This window comes from Homo sapiens, chromosome 18 (genome assembly GCF_000001405.40).
Source record: "Homo sapiens chromosome 18, GRCh38.p14 Primary Assembly".
NCBI classification, from domain to species: Eukaryota; Metazoa; Chordata; class Mammalia; order Primates; family Hominidae; genus Homo; species Homo sapiens.
Window position 1 is genome coordinate 8528524 of NC_000018.10, and position 18890 is coordinate 8547413.

Sequence of the window (18890 nt, forward strand, 5' to 3'; positions counted from 1 at the left end):
CTAAGAAGGAACTCCTAGGTGGAGGAGCAGGCTGACATCTTTGCTATTTAGGCACCTTAGCCATTCCAGCCTTCAGGCTTTGGAGAGTTTGAGCTGATCTGGGGCAGAAAGGATGCCCCACCATGGCACAGCTGCTCTACCTCAACATAGCCAGACTGCTGCTTTAAGCAGGTGCCTGATCCTGTTCCTCCTCACTAGCAGGACTCCCGAATGGGGCCTCCAGCCAGCCCCAACTAAGCTCTCCAGCTGACAGAGATCTGAATTCCCCCTGGGATGGTGCTTCCAGAGGGAGGGGTGGGCCATCATCTTTGTTGTTTGGGTGACTTAGCTGTTCTAGCCTTCAGGCTTTGGAAAGTCTGAGCCCACCCAGGGCAGGAGGGATCCCCCAGCATAGCACAGCTGTTCTACCACAACGTGCCCAGACTGCTGCTTTATGCAGGCACCTGATCCCATTCCTCCTCATTGGGCGGGACCTCAAAACCAGGGTCTCCAGTCACTTCCTATGATGCCTTTGGGCTGGCAACAGGTCCATACCTCCCTGCAACAAAGCTCCCAGAGGAAGGGACAGGCTGTCATCTTTGCTGTTTCACAGCCATCACTGGTGACACCTCCAGGTTCTGGAAAACCCAAGGTGACTAAGGACTAGAGTGGGCCCCAAGCATACTGCAGCAGCCCTATGGAAAAGTGGCCAGATTGTTACGTGGGTGCCTCTTCCCATATCTCCTCACATGGCAGGTCCTCCAGGCCTGGACCTCCAGCCACACCCCCTGCCAGAGCTATTGAGCCAATACCAACTCAGCAACTCCCTGGAAAGAGCCTCCAGGGGTAACTGAAAGCTTCTTGGCCACTGACTCTGCTGCGGAACTGCCCTTCCCACCCTTGGACTAATGGAGAGAAGACCCTACATGCCTTATCCACACCTCCAACAAACCACAGTCTTCCCAAGGAGAGGGGGCCAGCCCATCTCCCACAGGTACCACACACCCCCCATGACTCGTCACCAGACAGGAAACCCCTGGCTTGGGCCCACAGCATAGATCCTCCATCTGGGACTGACTGCACTGAGTGATTGCTCACCTGCATCTCTCTAGGGTGGAACTCCCAGGAGTCAAGCAAAAGATCCTTGGCCATAATCACTACTAAGATATCTTCCTCTGCTGCCTCTAAGCTGGAGAAGGAGCATAAACACTGAGATTGCCCCAGAGCTGCAGTGGGCAGCCCAGGAGTGCCAAGTCGTGATCTACAGTGAACACTCAAGGGGAAGAGAAACCCACACTTTCAGAGCACTGAGAAGGAACACGGCTGCAACTGTGAGGAAACATAGGGTAGCCACATAACTGAGCAAGAGTCTACCAAATGACTAATAAGCCTAAGTGCCACCTGCTGGATCACACCCCAAAGCCTCAACACAGAAAAATACCTCACTAACATACCACCCTCTGAACCAGTGACAAGAAGTCAGCTTCAAATAAAGGCCCTACACAAAGCTTTCGCCTGGTGAAAACATCCAGAAAAAAAGTCTATTGACTGTACTCAATCTACACTGCAGTTAAAGGAACACCCATATGGAGAGATGAGAAAGAACCAACACAAGAACTCTGGTAACTCACACGGCCAGAGTGTCATATATTCTCCAAACAACTGCACCAATTCTCCAAGCATTCTTAATCAGGCCAAACTAGCAGGAATTACAGAAACAGAATTCAGAATATGGATATGAACAAAGATCACTGAGATTCAAGAGGATTACAAAACCTAACCCAAGGTAAATAAGAATCACAATAAAGTGATACAGGAGCTGAAGGAAGAAATAGCCAATATAAAAAAGAACCTAATGGGTCTGACAGAGCTGAATAACACAAGAACTTCACAATGCAATCACTAGTATTAACAGCAGAATAAACCAAACTGAGGAAAGAATCTCAGCACTTGAATATGGGTTCTCTGAAATAAGACAGACAAACATTTTTTAAAAAGAATAAAAAGAAACGAACAAAACCTACAAGAAGTATGGGAATATGTAAGGAGGCCAAATCTACCAATCACTGGCCTCCCTGAAAGGGAGGGGGTGAAAGCAAACAACTTAGAAAATATATTTCATGATATCATCCATGAAAACTTCTCCAACCTTGCTAGAGAGGTCAACAGTCAAATTTAGGAAATACAGAGAACTCCTGCAAGATTCTACAAAAGAAGATCATCCCCAAGACACATAATTGTCAGATTTTCCAAGGTCAAAATGAAAGAATGTTAAAGGCAGCTAGAGAGAAAGGGTAGGTCACCTACAAAGGGATCCTCATCTGACTAACGGCAGACTTCTCACCTAAAACCCTACAATTAATAGAAGAGACTGGGGACCTATATGAAACATTCTTAAAGTAAAGTTTTCAACCAAGAATTTCATATCCAGCCAAACTAAGCTTCCTAAGTGAAGGAGAAGTAAAATCATTTTCAGATAAGCAAGCATTGAGGGACTTCATTACCACCAGATCTGCCTTACAAAAAATCTTGAAAAGGGTACTAAATATAGAAAGGAAAAACCACTATAAGCTAATATAAAAACACACTTAAAGACAAAGACCAGTGTCACTGTAAAGCAATCACGCAAACATAATAATCAGCCAACATAATAACCAGCTAACAGCACAATGACAGGATCAAATTCACACATATCAATACTAACCTTGAATGTAAATGGGCTAAATGCCTCACTTAAAAGGCACAGAATGGCCAGTTGGATAAAAAAACAAGACCCAATGGTATGCTGTCTTCAAGAGACCTATCTCACATGTAATGAAACTCATAGGGTCAAAATAAAGAAATGGCGAAAAATCTACCAAGCAAATGGAAAACAGGAAAAAGGCAGGGATTGCAATCCTAATTTCAGACAAAACAGATTTCAAACCAACAAAGATCAAAAAAGACAAGGAAGAGCATTACATAATGGTTAAGGATTCAATTCAACAAGAAAACCGAACTCTCCTAAATATATATGCACCCAACACAAGAGCATCCAGATTCATAAAGCAAGTCCTTAGAGCCCTACAAAGAGGCATAGACTCCCACACAATAATAGCGGGAGACTTCAACACTCCACTGACAGTATTAGACAGATCCTCGAAGCAGAAAATTAACAAAGATATTCAGGACTTAAACTCAGCATTGGACCAAATGGATCTGATAGACCTTTACAGAAATCTCCAACCTCCCCCGCACACCAAAAAAAGTATATACATTCTTCTCATTGCCACATGGCACATACTCTGAAATCAACCACATAATTGGACATAAAACAATTTGCAACAAATGTAAAAGAATCAAAATCATACCAAACAGACTCTCAGACCACAGTACAATAAAAATGGAATTCAACACAAAGAAAATAGCTCAACACCATACAATTACATAGAAATTAAACAACATGCTCCTGAATGACTTTTTGGTAAATAATGAAATTAAGGCAGCAATCAAGAAGTTCTTTAAAAATAATGAGAACAAATGTACAACATACCAGAATCTCTAGGATCATTAAGGCAGTATTAAGAGGGAAATTCATAGCACTAAATGCCCATCAAAAAGTTAGAAAGATCTCAAATTAACAACCTGACTTCACAACTGAAAGAATTAGAAAAGCAAGAACAAATAAACCCCAAAGCTAGCAGAAGACGAGAAATAACAAAAATCAGAGCTGAACTGAAGGAGATTGAGACACAAAAAACCATTCAAAAGATCAATGAATCCAGGAGTTGTTTAATAAAATAGGCCTTTAGCTAGACTAATTAAGAAGAAAAGAGAGAAGATCCAAATAAACACAATTAGAAATGACAATGGCAATGTTACTACTGACCCCACACAAATAAAATCAACTATCAGAAACTACTATGTACACCTCTACACACACAAACTAGAAAACCTAGAACAGATGGATAAATTTCTGGACACATATACCCTCTCAAGACTGAGCAAGGAAGAAATTGATTCCCTGAACAGACCAATAAGGAGCTCCAAAATTGAATCAGTAATAAATAGCCTGCCAACCAAAAAAAGCCCAGGACCTGATGCATTCACAGCTGAATTGTACCAGATGTACAAAGAAGAGCTGGTATCATCCCTACAGAAACTATTCCAAGAAATTGAGATACAACATGCCAGAATCTCTAGGACAGTTAAGTCAGTATTAAGAGGGAAATTCATAGCACTAAATGCCAGCATGAGGCCAGCATCATTTTGATACCAAAACCTGGCAGAGACACAATAAAAAAAAAAGAAAACTTCAGGCCAATATCGCTGATGAACATCAATGCAAAAATCCTCAAAAAAATATTTGCAAACCAAATCCAGCAGCACATCCAAAAGCTAATCCACCATGATCAAGTAGGCTTCATCCCTAGGATGCAAGGTTGGTTCAACATACTAAAATCAATAAATGTGATTCATCACGTAAACAGAACTAAAGACAAAACCACATGGTTATCTTAATAGATGCAGAAAACGCTTTTCTTAAATAAAATTCAACATCCTTTCATGTTGAAAACTCTCAATGAACTAGGTATGGAAGGAAAATACCTCAAAATAATAAGAGTCATATATGACAAACTCACAGCCAACATTATACTGAACAGGCAAAAGCTGGAAGCATTCCCCTTGAAAACCAGCACAAGACAAGGATGCCCTTTCTCACCACTTCTATTCAACATAGTATTGGAAGTTTTAGCTAGAGCAATCAGGCAAGAAAAATAAATAAATAAAGGGCATCCAAATCGGAAGAGGGGAAGTCAAACTATCTCTGTTTGCAGATGACATGATCCTATATCTAGAAAACCCTATAGTCTTGGCCCAAAACCTCCTTCAGCTGATAAGTTTAGCAAAGTTGCAGGATACAAAATCAATGTACAAAAATCACTAGCATCCCTATACACCAACAATAGCAAAATTGAGAGCCAAATCAGAAAGGCAATCCCATTCACAACTGCCACAAAAAAATAAATACCTCAGAATACAGCTAACCAAGGAGGTGAAAGATCTCTACCATGAGAATTACAAAACACTGCTCAAAGAAACCCAAGAAGACACAAACAAATGGAAAAACATCCCCTTCTCATGGATAGGAAAAATCAATATCATTAATATGGCTATACTTCCCAAAGCAATTTACAGATTCAATGCTATTCCTATCAAACTACAAAAAACATTCTTCACAGAACTAGAAAAAACAATTTTTAATTTATATGGAACCAAAAAAGAGCCCCAATAGCCAAGGCAATCCTAAGCAAAAAGAACAAAGCTGGAGGAAGTCACATTACCCAACTTCAAACTGTATTATTATACAAGCTACAGTAACCAAAACAGTATCGCACTGGTACAAAAACAGGCACATAGACCAATTGAACAGAATAGAGATCCCAGAAGCAAGGCTGCACATCTACGACCATCTGATCTTTGACAAAGCTGACAAAAATAAGCAATGGGGAAAAGGCTCCCTATTCAGTAAATGGTGCTGTGATAACTGGCTAGCCATACACAGAAGATTGAAACTGGACCACCATAAACAAAAATCAACTCCAGATGGGTTAAAGACTTAAATGTAAAACCCAAAACTATGAAAACCCTGGAAGATAACTTAGGCAATACCATCCTGGACATAGGAACAGGCAAAGATTTCATGACAAAGACACCAAAAGAAATTGCAACAAAAGCAAAAATTAAAAAATGGGATCTAATTAAACTTAAGAGCTTCTGCACAGCAAAGAAAACTATCAACAGAGTAAAAAGACAACCCTACAGAATGGGGGAAAACATTTGCAAACTATGCATCTGACAAAGGTCTAATATCCAGCATCTATAAGGAACTTAAATATACAAGAGAAAAACAAACAACTCCATTAAAAAGTGGACAAAGGACATGAAAAGACACTTCTCAAAAGAAGACATACATGCCGCCAACAAGCATATGAAGAAAAGTTCAATATCACTGGTCATCAGAGAAATGCAAATGAAAACCACAATGAGATACCATCTCACACCAGTCAGAATGCCTATTATTAAAAAGTCAAAAAATAACAGATGTGGTGAGGTTGCAGAGAAAACTGAACGCTTATACACAGTTGGTGGGAGTGTAAATTAGTTCAGCCATTGTGGAAAGCAGCATAGCAATTCCTCAAAGAGCTGAAAACAGAACTATCATTCAACCCAGCAATCCCATTACTGGGTACATACCCAGAGCAATATAAAGCATTCTGCCATAAAGACACATGCACGCGAATGTTCATTGCAGCACTATTAACAATAGCAAAGACATGGAATCAACCTAAATGCCCATCAATGAGAGACTGATAAAGAAAATGTGGTACATATGCACCATGGAGTATTATGCAGCCATAAAAAGGAATGAGATCAGCCGGGCACAGTGGTTCACACCTGTAATCCCAGCACGTTGGGAGGCTGAGGCAGGCAGATCACAAGGTCAGGAGATTGAGACCATCCTGGCTAACACAGTAAAACCCCACCTCTACTAAAAACACAAAAAATTAGCCAGGCATGGTGGTGAGCGCCTGTAGTCCCAGCTACTCAGGAGGCTGAGGCAGGAGGCGGAGCTTGCAGTGAGCCGAGATCGCGCCACTGCACTCCAGCCTGCGGGACAGAGTGATATTCCGTCTCAAAAAAAAAAAGAATGAGATCATGTCTTTTGCAGGAATGTGGATGGAGCTGGAGGCTATCATCCTTAGCAAACTAACAAAGGAATAGAAAACCAAAGACTGCATGTTCTCACTTAGAAGTGACAGCTAAATGATAAGAACTTAAAAACACAAAGAAAGACACAAAAGACACTGGGTCTACTTGATGGGGGAGGGTGAGAGAAAGGAGAGGAGCAGAAAACATAACTATTGGGTACTGAGCTTAATACTTGCAGGATGTAATAAAATGTATCACAAACCCCTGTGACACATGTTTATATATGTAACAAACCTTCACATGTACCCCCAAACCTAAAATGAAATTTTTTTAAAATGAGGCAGATATGTGTGCACTGATAAAGAATAATCTATACAATTTTTTTTGTTGGTTTTTGTTTGTTTGCTTGTTTGTTTGTTTTTTGAGACAGGGTCTCACTCTGTAGCCCAGGCTGAAGTCTGGAGTGCAGTGATGCAATCATGCGATCCTCCCCTTCAGTCTCCTAAATAGCCAGGACCACAGGTGTGTGTCTCCACACCAGGCTAACTTTTTATTTTTTGTAAAGATAGGATCCCACTATGTTGCCCAGGCTGGTCTCAAGCTCCTGGGCTGAAGCAATTCTCCTGTCTCAGTTTCCCAAAGTGTTGTGATTATAGGTGTGAGCCACCATGCCCAGCTATATATAATGTTATTATTAAATAAGACAATCAGGACACAGAATAGTGTGTGCAATGTGCTACTATTTGTGTGAAAAATAAAATGTATTTATATTTATGGACACACACAAATATTTGTATTTGCAGAAAATGTGATATTTGAGGTTGGCCTGTCAGATAAAATTTAGGATACCCAGTTACATTTTAATTTTAAGTTAACAATGAATAATTTTTATTATATTCCATTCAATATTTGGGATGAAAAAGTATTCATTTTCATCTGAAATTCAAACTTAACTGGGAAACCTGTGTTGATATTTGCTAAATTTGGCAATCCTACTTTGAGGTGATGAAGGTTAGTATTAAGATATGTAATCAAATATGCAGTTTAGTATTCTATTCTCAAAAATCTAACATGATGGCATGCACACACACAGAAAAGGCAACCAATAACCCCGTCTCCCCTGCCAAGCACATTTGCACATTGGATTCCATTTGCACAGTGCCCCTGGAGGTGTGGGGTGCAGTGTCCTGGTCCGAGAACAGCAGGCTGAATTGCCGGGAGGCGGTCCTGCTGGTGAAGGCGACTCATCACCCAAGGAAGTTCCTGGCACTTGTTATAGAGCATCCTGTATCTGTCCTTCAGGCACCAGTGGAGCTGAGGGTGATTCCCGGCCGTACGTGCAGTTGAGATGCTTCAAGAATTTTCTTCCGGTCTAACCTCAAGAACAGCCACACAAAGTAGCTGCAATCATTCAGTTTCCTCCGGGACCGCATTCTCCCCACCCCGACCCCAAGTCCCCTCTGCTCTTATGGCCATGTGGAATTTGTGCTTATATTTTGTTGGCAATTGGATTCAAACACATTACAGTATTTTGAATTGAGGGATTCAAAAATTATTATTATATTCCCTTTGCAGCTACCTATAGTTATTTATGCAGTAAATTCTGTTTAAACTCACTTGAGTGGGCCCCTGCTAACTACTGAAGGGCTGTTAGTAGCAAATTTGTCCAAGGACAAATAAATCATTGAAGCCAGTTCTCCTTCCCCTCCTACAGGGTGAAAGAAATACTTCCCCTGGGGTAGGAAGAGGGGTGAAAGCTCCCTCCTACCCTTTCTCAAAAGCTCTGCTCAAACCCAGCGGACTCCGTTCCCTGCCAGCAGCTGTGACTGCTGAAAGCCTGGCGTTCAGTATCATTTCCAAGCTCGCCCAGGGGCTGCCAGGAGCATGGCAGGGTGCTGACTGCTGCAGAGGCAGGTGGCTTCAGCCAAAGGGATTCGAAAGACTGTCCCACCCCACCCCAGCCCTCTCGCTAAGACTAAGTTCAGAGAGGTCGCGTGACGTGTCCAAGGTTGCGAGGCTGGTTAGCAGCCAAGCAGGGCCTGCCGTCCTGCCGTGTCGGACAGGGACCTTGGGCAGCTTCTCATACCCTTCCGCTGCCTTCTTCTTTCTCTTCTTGGTCCAACAACACCTCCGCAGCACCCCCACCTCCAGCCCCCTACCTGGGCTGCCTTTCCCCTTCCAGGCTTTAATAAAATGTCACACCACCAGGCGGAGGCTCCCACTTCTGGAGAAGGCTTGAGGAGCCAGGTGCTGCCCCAGAAGGCAGGGCAGTGGCCCCCACGGAGTGTGTCTTGACTAGTTGGAAAGAGAAGTTAGGAGAGAAGTAAGCAGACGGTGCCCACTCACCCTCCTCTACCCCTGCCCCCAGCAGCCTGCTCCACACGCAGCCTCTCCTTGCAAATCTCCAGATGGGTCCACCACGCTGGGCACGGGCCCAGGCCTGCCTGCGAGCTCACAGGGTGCATTGACCCACGTGGCAAGGCATCACGTCACTTCGCGCTTTTCCCCGCCTCGCTCCCTCTATCTCCTCATTCTCACTGCTCACGGCTCAAACCTCCCAAATAAAACGCTGGGACTCGAATTCTCGCTGTGGCTCTGCTTTTCAGAGGACCCTGGCCCGAACATCACTGATAGCCAGACTCAACACTGAGGCTGCTGGTGCCTCCCAGCACATCCTTAACACATCGCTGGCACCCGGGTTCTCATCGCAGGGACTGCTTCTAGGAAATCCAACCTAAAACACCATTTGGTTTTAAAACACTTTTCATAGGCGGCACGGTGACTCACGCCTGTAATCCCAGACCTTTGGAAGGCCAAGGCAGGAGGATCACTTGAGCCCAGGAGTTTGAGACCAGCCTGGGAACATAGCAAGACCTCATCTCAGTAACAAAAAAGAAATATTTTTTTTTTCTTAAACGACTGAGCACTTATAGCCCTCCCAATGCTCTTTCCCTGCCTGATTATCCCCATAGTATTTAGCACCATGTAAGTTATTTTATTTTCTTTCCCTTGCCTTCCTAATAGAGTGTAAGTTCCATGACGGCCTGGACTTCTGCCAGTTTTGTTCACTGCTGTTCCCTCAGCACATAGAACAGTGCCTGCCACAGGTAAGCACACTAAGTGTTTGTTGAATGAATGAAGGTACCAAGGATTGGGCTACAAGCCAAAAATAAAACAATGAACAGGAAAGACATGGCCCCAAGCCCCAGAAAGCTTCGTCTAAAGGGAAGATGCATCATTAAACGTCATCCCGTGTCTCCTACTCTTCAGATGATCCCAGTTGCCTTGCTTTATGGTATTCTACGTTGGAGTTCCATTTCATCATCTAATTTGGGGTCTTTGCATTCTCAAGGGATTAATTCCAATATGTTCTGCTTGTGGCACCTGTTTGCACCAAGGATGGGTTTTTCTGGCCTTGCAGCTCTTTAAACATCAGCAGCCTCTCCAGCCCATGTTTTCTCCTGCCTTTTATGTTGTTTCATCAGAAATTAGTGTCCTTTTTCTGCAGGAATCATGGAGCACATGTTTCTAATCCTACTTCTGGTCAGAATACATAGTTGTGTTCCATTTGGGATCTGTGGCAGAGACTGTCAGATGTCTACCCATCAGCCATCCCACCCTTTCTCCTTAATAACAAAACTCTGATATTATTTGCAGCCCAGTGGTCTATAGAGCAAGCCTGTACCAGCTCCCAAGAGCCAATTAGTAGATTTGCAGGAATTGGGTAAACTAATCATTAAACCATTGGTAGCTTGAAATTAACCATGGTGGTAGTATTTATACTGCAGAAATTAGCAAATGCTACAATCAGGAGTTTCTTTCTCTCTCCCTGCCATCTCCCACTTTGGGGTGGGGGGAGGATAAAACTGGCTTACCAGCACATCACTAGGGGGTGAATACGTACCCAGCTAAAAGACTACATTTCCCAGCCTCCCTTGCAGGAAGATATGGCGAACTGGATGAAGCTGGTCCCTAATGACTTAAAGGCCCTGGTTACCTAACTCCAGGGCAAAAATCAACTTCTGCTTTTTTAAAAGCCATTTTTTAGTTGAGAGTTTTTTTTATTACCTGTAGTGATGCCTGATCCTAACTGATCCAGGGTCCAGCTGAAAGTTTGTTTCTCATCAAGGAGATACATATTTCCTATGCAATACCATTAATGTCCCGGGCCACAGTGGCTCGCAGGCATTACTGCTTAATTATATTGTGCCCTTCATCAGGTAGGCTGCAGTTGCCACCTACCTTACCTTCAGACTTACTCTCTATGAAGTGGCCACTGATGTTTTCTTCTTCAATTTTGACATATGACAAATGACTAAAGTCCATCACAAGTCCTGAATCCTTCTAGAAATTGCTTTATGGTATTCTACCTTGGAGTTCAGCCACTTTCACACACCACAGCAACTGGCTAGTGCCTTCTGCCACTGGATGGTGTCCTCACGCCAGGAGCTAAGCTCAGACCATGAGTCTGCAAGAGGAGAAGGGCATTTCAGGGGGATCAGCTCAGGCACACAGAGTCCAGCTCCAACTAAAAAACACCATGGATGGGCCGGGCACTGTGGCTCACGCCTGTAATCCCAGCACTTTTGGAGGCCGAGGTGTGCGGATCACTTGAGGTTAGGAGTCCGAGCCTGGCCAACATGGTGAAACCCATCTCTACTAAAAATACAAAAAATCACCTGGATGTGGTGGTGAGTGACTGTAATCCTAGCTACTCGGGAGGCTGAAGCAGGAAAATCACTTGAACCCGGGAGGCGGAGGTTGTAGTGAGCCGAGATCATGCCACTGCACTCCAGCCTGGATGACAGAGTGAGACTCTGTCTCAAAAGAAAAACAAACAAACAAACAAACAAACCACAACAAAAAAACCCGTGGATGGACAAACTATTAAGTGGGTGAAAATAGTGATGAAAGTGACCCCCTTTTTCTGCATAATTTAATAGGATGTACAATTTTAGGACTAGATTGTGCCTTCTGATTTTTAATCAATGGGTCAATGTGGAAAAAATTTAATCTGTTTACAAGATGATTGAGTGATCAATTGATTTTTACTGAATTAACTTAATTAACCAGCTGTTAGGCCTTATATATGTAATCTCTAAATTTACAAAATAAGCCTTATAAAACAAAATTAGCCAATTTCACTACTGAATAATCACTGAAATCACCCTGAAAGACAGACATGTGTACTTATGAAGCGTGACAATGTGTCATTCAAGGAAAGTGGTTTTTGAAAATTCGTATTTAATGCCTTTTTAAAATTACAACTCTATTAGGGATAGAAATAAAATAAGTACATGCCTCTTTTGTTCCTATTGATTAGACTAATTTAATCTGATCAATTTTAAACCGGGGGGGGGGGGTGCTATTTTAGTAAAATGAAAGTGAAGATGACCTGTCTGTGTAAGTCCAAGAAGAATTGCAATGTTGCATTTCAAATGTAGTGTATCAAAAAATTACGCATTTGAAACCAGACTGAAGGCTTATTATCATAAAGATAATTAAGCATGCTTCGGTGGCTTTTGCAGGCAACTGAAATGTCTTTTGGGTACTGCCTATTTACATTCATTCCTAAACGGTATCCACCGCCATTCATATCTTGCTGTGGGAACACCCAGCTGTCTAACTTGTAGTTTCTTAATTGAGGTCAATTCTCTTACTTTGCTCAGGACAGGTAAATCTACCTCCAAGAAATTGCAATGGTCAAAGGCAGTGTGAACTCATAAAAATCACCATTCCCTGACACTTTTTAATGTGATAATACAATTGTCTGCCCAAAACTGAGATGCTTTTTTAAATAGAAGAGAACAAATATGTGTTTAGAATGAACATCTCTTTTCTATTCCTATTTTTACCTCTTTAGAAGAATTTTGCATATAAATAATTTTGTTTTTTAGTTTATTTCTAGAAATAACCATATCTACTTGTAAATCATTATTTGGGCCCTGTTGGGTTTTTTAAGCAACTAATATTATACTGTTATAAATATATTGTAATATATAAACTAATTATATCGTTATAAATTATTAGTTATTAATGTCAACTAAAGTTTTTCCATGTATTGATTCCTTTCAAAGTTATATTTAGGATTACGAAGTTCTATAGACATTGAGTTTTATATAAAGGTAACAGAAAAAAATGTAGAAATATCATAAAAATAATGTAACAGCCCTTTGGGATTATAACTGATTTATGCTCATATTATCAAAATTGGAAGTTTGGTAGAGAGGATTTAAAGCCAGGAGAACTGGTTTCTGGCTCCAGGACTCATTGTAATGAGCTGCAAGTCATTGGCAAAATGTCTTCAGGTCTCCTTATGTTCCTCAAACCAAACCAAATCTCACCTAATCTTTGTGGATAATGACTGTGCCATGAGCCACACTGCTCAGTTGTGGGGATCAAAACAGAATTTCTGAAAGTTTTTTTTTTTAAGCCTTGATTTAAGAAGTGACTGATGGAAGAGGCCCCAAGTTTTTGTTTGTTGATTTGTTTCCTTGTGTGTTTTTAAGCAGGAACTTAAAGAGGATGAAAAGCTGTAGATACAAGTGGTTCTGAGAAGGCAAAGCTCTGCATTACCCTTTGTCTTTTATTTTGAAAAACAGATGAAAAAGAAGGTTAGGAAAAATTCACAGCAAGTTACCAAAAAATATAAATTGGCCAGGTGCAGCAGCTTATAGCCGTAATCCCAACACTTTGAGAGGCTGAGGTGGGAGGATCACTTGAGCCCAGGAGTTTGAGACCAGGTTGGGCAACATAATGGGATCCCATATCTACAAAAAATAAAAAATTAGCCAGGCATGGTGGTGTGCGCATGCAGTCCCAGCTACTTGAGGGGCTGAGGTGGGAAGATCGCTGCAGCCAGGGAGGTCAAGGCTGTAGTAACCCATGAATGCGCTACTGCACTCCAACCTGGGGAACGGAGTAAGACCCTGCATCAAAAAAAAAAAAAAAAAAAAAGAGAGAGAGAGAGAATAAATGACTATGCAGATTGCCTTAAACTTAGGAACATATCAGATGTCCCACTACAAAAAAGAAGGTATTTTTCAAGTGATATAAATAAGGAACTAATGCAGAAATTCAATTTTCCATGTCATACTAAATGTGAAGTGTTTTAGAAAGTGTGAGATAATACATAAGTGCAAGCTGTTATCGCATTTTTTTAAAAGCTAGAAAATAAGAATTGTCAAGTGACAGTGACATATGTTAATGCAGAAAGTCATCTACTTTTCAGATGATCTTGATAATCTCTACTGGTGAAGTGCAGCATACAGATATCAGTAAATGTCGCTGCTATTTGAGGAGCATCGTTACTCTCCAAGCCCCTCACAACAGGTGAACAACTGGTCTCCAACACTGCCCTCTCCAGGTTGGGCAGGATGGACATGAGGGCAAGTGCAATTTGTCTAAGGATGTCCAGAACAAGCTTTGTGAGTGCACACGTCCCAAACCGTAGCACAAACCTGACAGCAAGTTAGAATAGGCTCTGTTACAGAGGATGTGAGGGACGTTCCCTAAGTGTGGCACATGAAGAAAACCCACACATATGAGAACCTACTTTATGCAAGGAGCAGGCCTATCTATAATAGTTGATGGATATGGGGCAAGAATACAAATGTAGATTCATATACTATATATCTAGATATTTGAAAGTTATGGCCACGCACAGCGGCTCACACCTGTAATCTCAACACTTTGAGAGGCCAAGGCAGGTGATTGCTTCAGCCCAGGAGTTCAAGACCAGCTTGGGCAACATGGTGAACCCTGTCTCTACAAAAATTAGCCTGGCGTGGTGGTGCATGCCTGTAGTCCCAGCTACTCAGGAAGCTGAGGTGGGAGGATTGATTGAGCCTGGAAGGTCAAGGCTGCAATGAGGCAAGATCACACCACTGCACTCCAAGCTGGGCCACAGGGTGACACCCTGTCGGAAGGAAGGAAGGAAGGGAGGGAGAGAGGGAGGGAGGAAGGAAGGAAGGAAGGAAAGAAGGAAGGAAGGAATGAAGGAAGGAAGGAAGGAAGGAAGGAAAGAAAAGGAAGCAAGGAAAGAAGGAAGGAGAAAAGAAAGAAAAGAAAAGAAAAGTTACAAAGCAAGCTAATGGCTGGAAAATAAAATACAACCTATCCCCCTTCCTAATAATCTGGAAGGCCAGTCTCACATGTAGAATGTTCAGCCTCCTTGGAATTCTGCACCAGAACATGGCGATTGGCCATCTACTTTCTCTTTCCATCCTCAGCTTCACTGTGCACCCAAAAGGGCCCAGTGGGTGCCTGGTCTTGATGCTCCAACTTGCACATCGAGCCTCTCCTCACTGTTTCCAATAGCTGTTGCTTGGCTGCCCCGCCCAGCTAAAGAGTGCATGAACCAGGGATGCCATTCACCCTGATCTGGAGGAGAGGCTGGTGCAGGCCTTAGATGTGGGCTCAAGGAATGTTTGGGTGGAGAGTTCCAGGGACCCCAGTGTTCACAGCATGGCTTGGAAGAGGGACACATGGGTTCCAGTGGGCACTTCCCCTTGACCCCATGACTCCACTCCCTGTAAGGGTCATGGCTGGAGGAGGGCTGAAGTAGGGGACTCTCAAGCACCAGATGGAAAGGAAGCCCCATTGCCTGGGTCCAAGGGCGATGCTGGCAGGGACCGCCAAGATAAAGTTGTAATAAGGTGAGTCAGTTCATCACAATACTTTTGACCCACAGGTGGTTTCTGTTTCTTCCAGGTAATACAAGACATTTTAATTATCTGCTCAGAACTGTATCCTTAATATTCCAGAGTGATCCATAATAAAACAGTAAGCAAAGGAATTTGTCTTCTAGACCATGGGTAGCCAAGTGGCAAGAAGACTTCCATTTAGTGAAGGTAGGCACTACATTTAATATGCACTGGGCTCATCCTCTTGTCTTCCTTCCCTTTCAGAACAATAACGTTCCAACAGCATCAGGTAGACCCAAGCAAAGTAGGGGTCTGCCTGGATGGCGAGGGGTGGAAAGGAGCCCTGCAGAGAGTGAGGAGGTCCCCACAGGGGGCTGGCCTGGCACGGGGATCAGACCAACCTGTGTAGGGTGAGCAGGCCCTCCCTGGTGGGGTAAGGAGGGTGTTTGCAGAGAGAGGTGGGCAGGGCAGTTGTAGTGATGGAAGACTTGGTATAGCTTGGAGACTGACCAAATAAGCCAATATGCTGAGGATAATGGGAGGCAGATTTCTCACTGTGGGACAAGCGGGAAGGGAGAAAACCAGCGTGAACGCTGTTGTTTGATTGGAACTGGAGATATCAAGGTTTTCAGTACAGAGAGATAGACATAGAAATAGATACAGGTGTGTGTGCGTGTGTGTGTGTGTGTGTGTGTGGTTCTGTGCACTGACAGGCCTGGGAATATCAAGCAGCAGATAGCAATGAGCACATGCAGTGCAAACAGCTTAGTTTCTAAACAGCATTTTCCACTAAGATGAACCAGGGCACCTTGAGAAGTGGCTGATTCTGGGACGGGGGCAAGGAATGCTCAAAATGAGCCTGGAGTCTCTCCTCGTGCCAGTAAGTGAGGCAGTGCTCCAGGAACAAGAGGACCTAGCAAAGGGACACAGAACCAGCTTAAAGGGGCCCCCCACCAGACCTGGGACATTTTTGAGCTTACAAATAGATAATGATAGCAATAGATACAACCCATTGAGTGACATTACAACCCACAGGACCATGTTGATATAAATAAGAAAGGAAATAGGTAACTTGAAAGTTTCATGAGGAACAGGATATTTATAAAGGATCAGAGAATCTCTCCCCAAAATATTTGTCACTTACTAAGGGAAAGAAGGGGTAGCTTTAGGGAGGGGAAGCTGGGAGACACCACCTTAATCAGGAGTGCTGTTTGCATCATTACCACTAATGAGGCAAATGGAAACGTGCCACATGCAAGGACTCAGTGAGAACACAACACTCGTGATATTCCTGCAAAGGGGCATCATCTGAGTTTTACCACGAGAAACATCAGACCCACCCAAATCCGGGGACTTTCTACCAAATAACTAGCCTGTTATCTCCAAAAGTCAGGGTCACTGTAATCCCAGCACTTTGGGAGGCCGAGGCGCGCAGATCACCTGAGTTCAGGAGTTTGAGACCAGCCTGGCCAACATGGTGAAACCCCGTCTCTACTAAAAATACAAAAAGTAGCTGGCCGTGGTGGCAAGTGCATGTAATCCCAGCTACTCAGGAGGCTGAGGCAGGAGAATCATTTGAACCTGATAGGTGGAGGTTGCAGTGAGCCGAGATCGTGTCACTGCACTCCAGCCTGGGCGACAGAGTGAGACTCCATCTCAAAAAAAAAAAAAAAAAAAAAAAAAGTCAGGGTAATGAAAGTCAAGGAAACACTAAAATTATTCAGGACTGAAGAAGACCGAAGAGATGGACAACTAAGGCAAATTGCAGGCAGGGGTCTGTAAAACAACGCAGCCATGACAGCCACATCATGCTCAACAATGGCACCAAGACGGACATGCTAGGGCTAGGCACCTGGAAGTCCCCTCCAGGCCAGGTGGCCGAGGCTGTGAAGGTAGCAATCAACACTGTATACCGCCACATCGACTGCAGCCACGTGCACCAGAACAAGGACCAGGAGCAGCTCAAGGAGCAGGTGGTGAGGCGTGAGTGGCTCTTCATCATCAGCAAGCCATGGGGCATATGCCACAGGAAGTGCCTGGTGAGAGGATCCTGCCGAAAGGTGCTCAGTGGCCTGGAGCTGGACTACCTGGACCTCCACCTTATTCACTGGCCAACAGGCTGTCATCCTGGGAAGGAATTTTCCTTTTTAGATGAATCAGGCAACTCATTCAGGGGCTGGTGAAAGCTGCTGGCATCTCCAACTTCACCATCTCCAGGCCGAGAGGACCTTAAACAAATCTGGCTTAAAGTGAAAGCTGGCTGGGTATGGTGGCTCACGCCTGTAATCCCAGCACTATGGGAGGCCGAGGCAGGCGGATCAGGAGGTCAAGAGATCAAGACCATCCTGGCTAACATGGTGAAACCCTGTCTCTACTGTAAATACAAAAAAATTAGCCGGGTGTGGCGGCGTGTGCCTGTAGTCCCAGCTACTTGGGAGACTGAGGCAGGAAAATCGCTTGAACCCAGGAGATGGAGGTTGCAGTGAGCCAAGATCGTGCCACTGCACTCCAGCCTGGGCAACAGAGTGAGACTCCGTCTCAATGGGAAAAAAAAAAGTGTAAGCCAGCAGTGGTTCATCAGATTGAGCGCCACTGGTAGGTCCCTAACTCAAGAGAACTTAATCCAGTACTACCAGTCCAAGGCAGCATAGTGACCGCCTACAGCCCCCTTGGCTCTCCCGACAGGCCCAGGGCCAAGCCTGAGGACCCTTCCCTCCTGGAAGACCCCAGGATCAAAGTGATTGCAGCCAAGCACAATGAAACTGTAGCCAGGTTCTGATGTGGCTCCTCACACAGAGGAACTTGGTGGTGACCCCCACATCTGTGACACTGGATCGCATTGCTGAGAACTTCAAGGTCTTTGACTTTGAACTGAGCAGCCAGGATATGACCTCCTTACTCAGCTGCAACAGGAACTGAAGGGTCTGTGCCTTGGTAAGCTGAACCGCCCCCAAGGATCACCCATTCCATGAAGAGTTTCGAAGCTGTGGATGTCTGCTCTTCCGCAAGTAACCTACACCTGGTTTTCCCGCCTCATTGTTTTCTTGCAAATGTAGTATGGCCTGTATCCCTTGGCAGTGGGGCAGCAATCTGCAGACTGACCAGCAAGGGTCTGTCAAGCTTGACGTCAGGTCTGAAGAGCAGCATCAGTAGAGTGGAATTCTTTTCCCACTTTCTTTGCCATTTTTGTTCAGCTGAAGGAAGTGCAACCTGAATACCCTTTTCTGACCAAAGAGAAGCAAAATCTACAGAGTCAAAATAGTGCCTCTAACAGTTGAGTTTCGGCTGATGGAACTGTAATCCTTACGGCAAGACTTCTCTTTGCCTCAAATAATAAGTGCTTTTGTGAAAAGAGACAGAGGGGGGCAACAGAAGGCAATATAAGACTTTGGATTGAATCATTTTGCTGCATAGAACACTCAGGATAATTGGCAAAATGTAAAGGGGGTTTGAGGATGAGATGGAGGTGATGTGTCTTTTAATTTCCTGGTTGGAATGGTGTAGTGTGGTTACGTAGGAGATAGCCTTGTAGCAAATACATCCGAAAAATTGGGGCGAGTTGGGATATGACAT

The 18890-nt window shown here is 43.7% G+C and overlaps 1 pseudogene; it reads left to right on the plus strand.

Moving 5' to 3' along the window:
• On the plus strand, nt 17085-18434 carry AKR1B1P6 (aldo-keto reductase family 1 member B1 pseudogene 6; annotated as a pseudogene).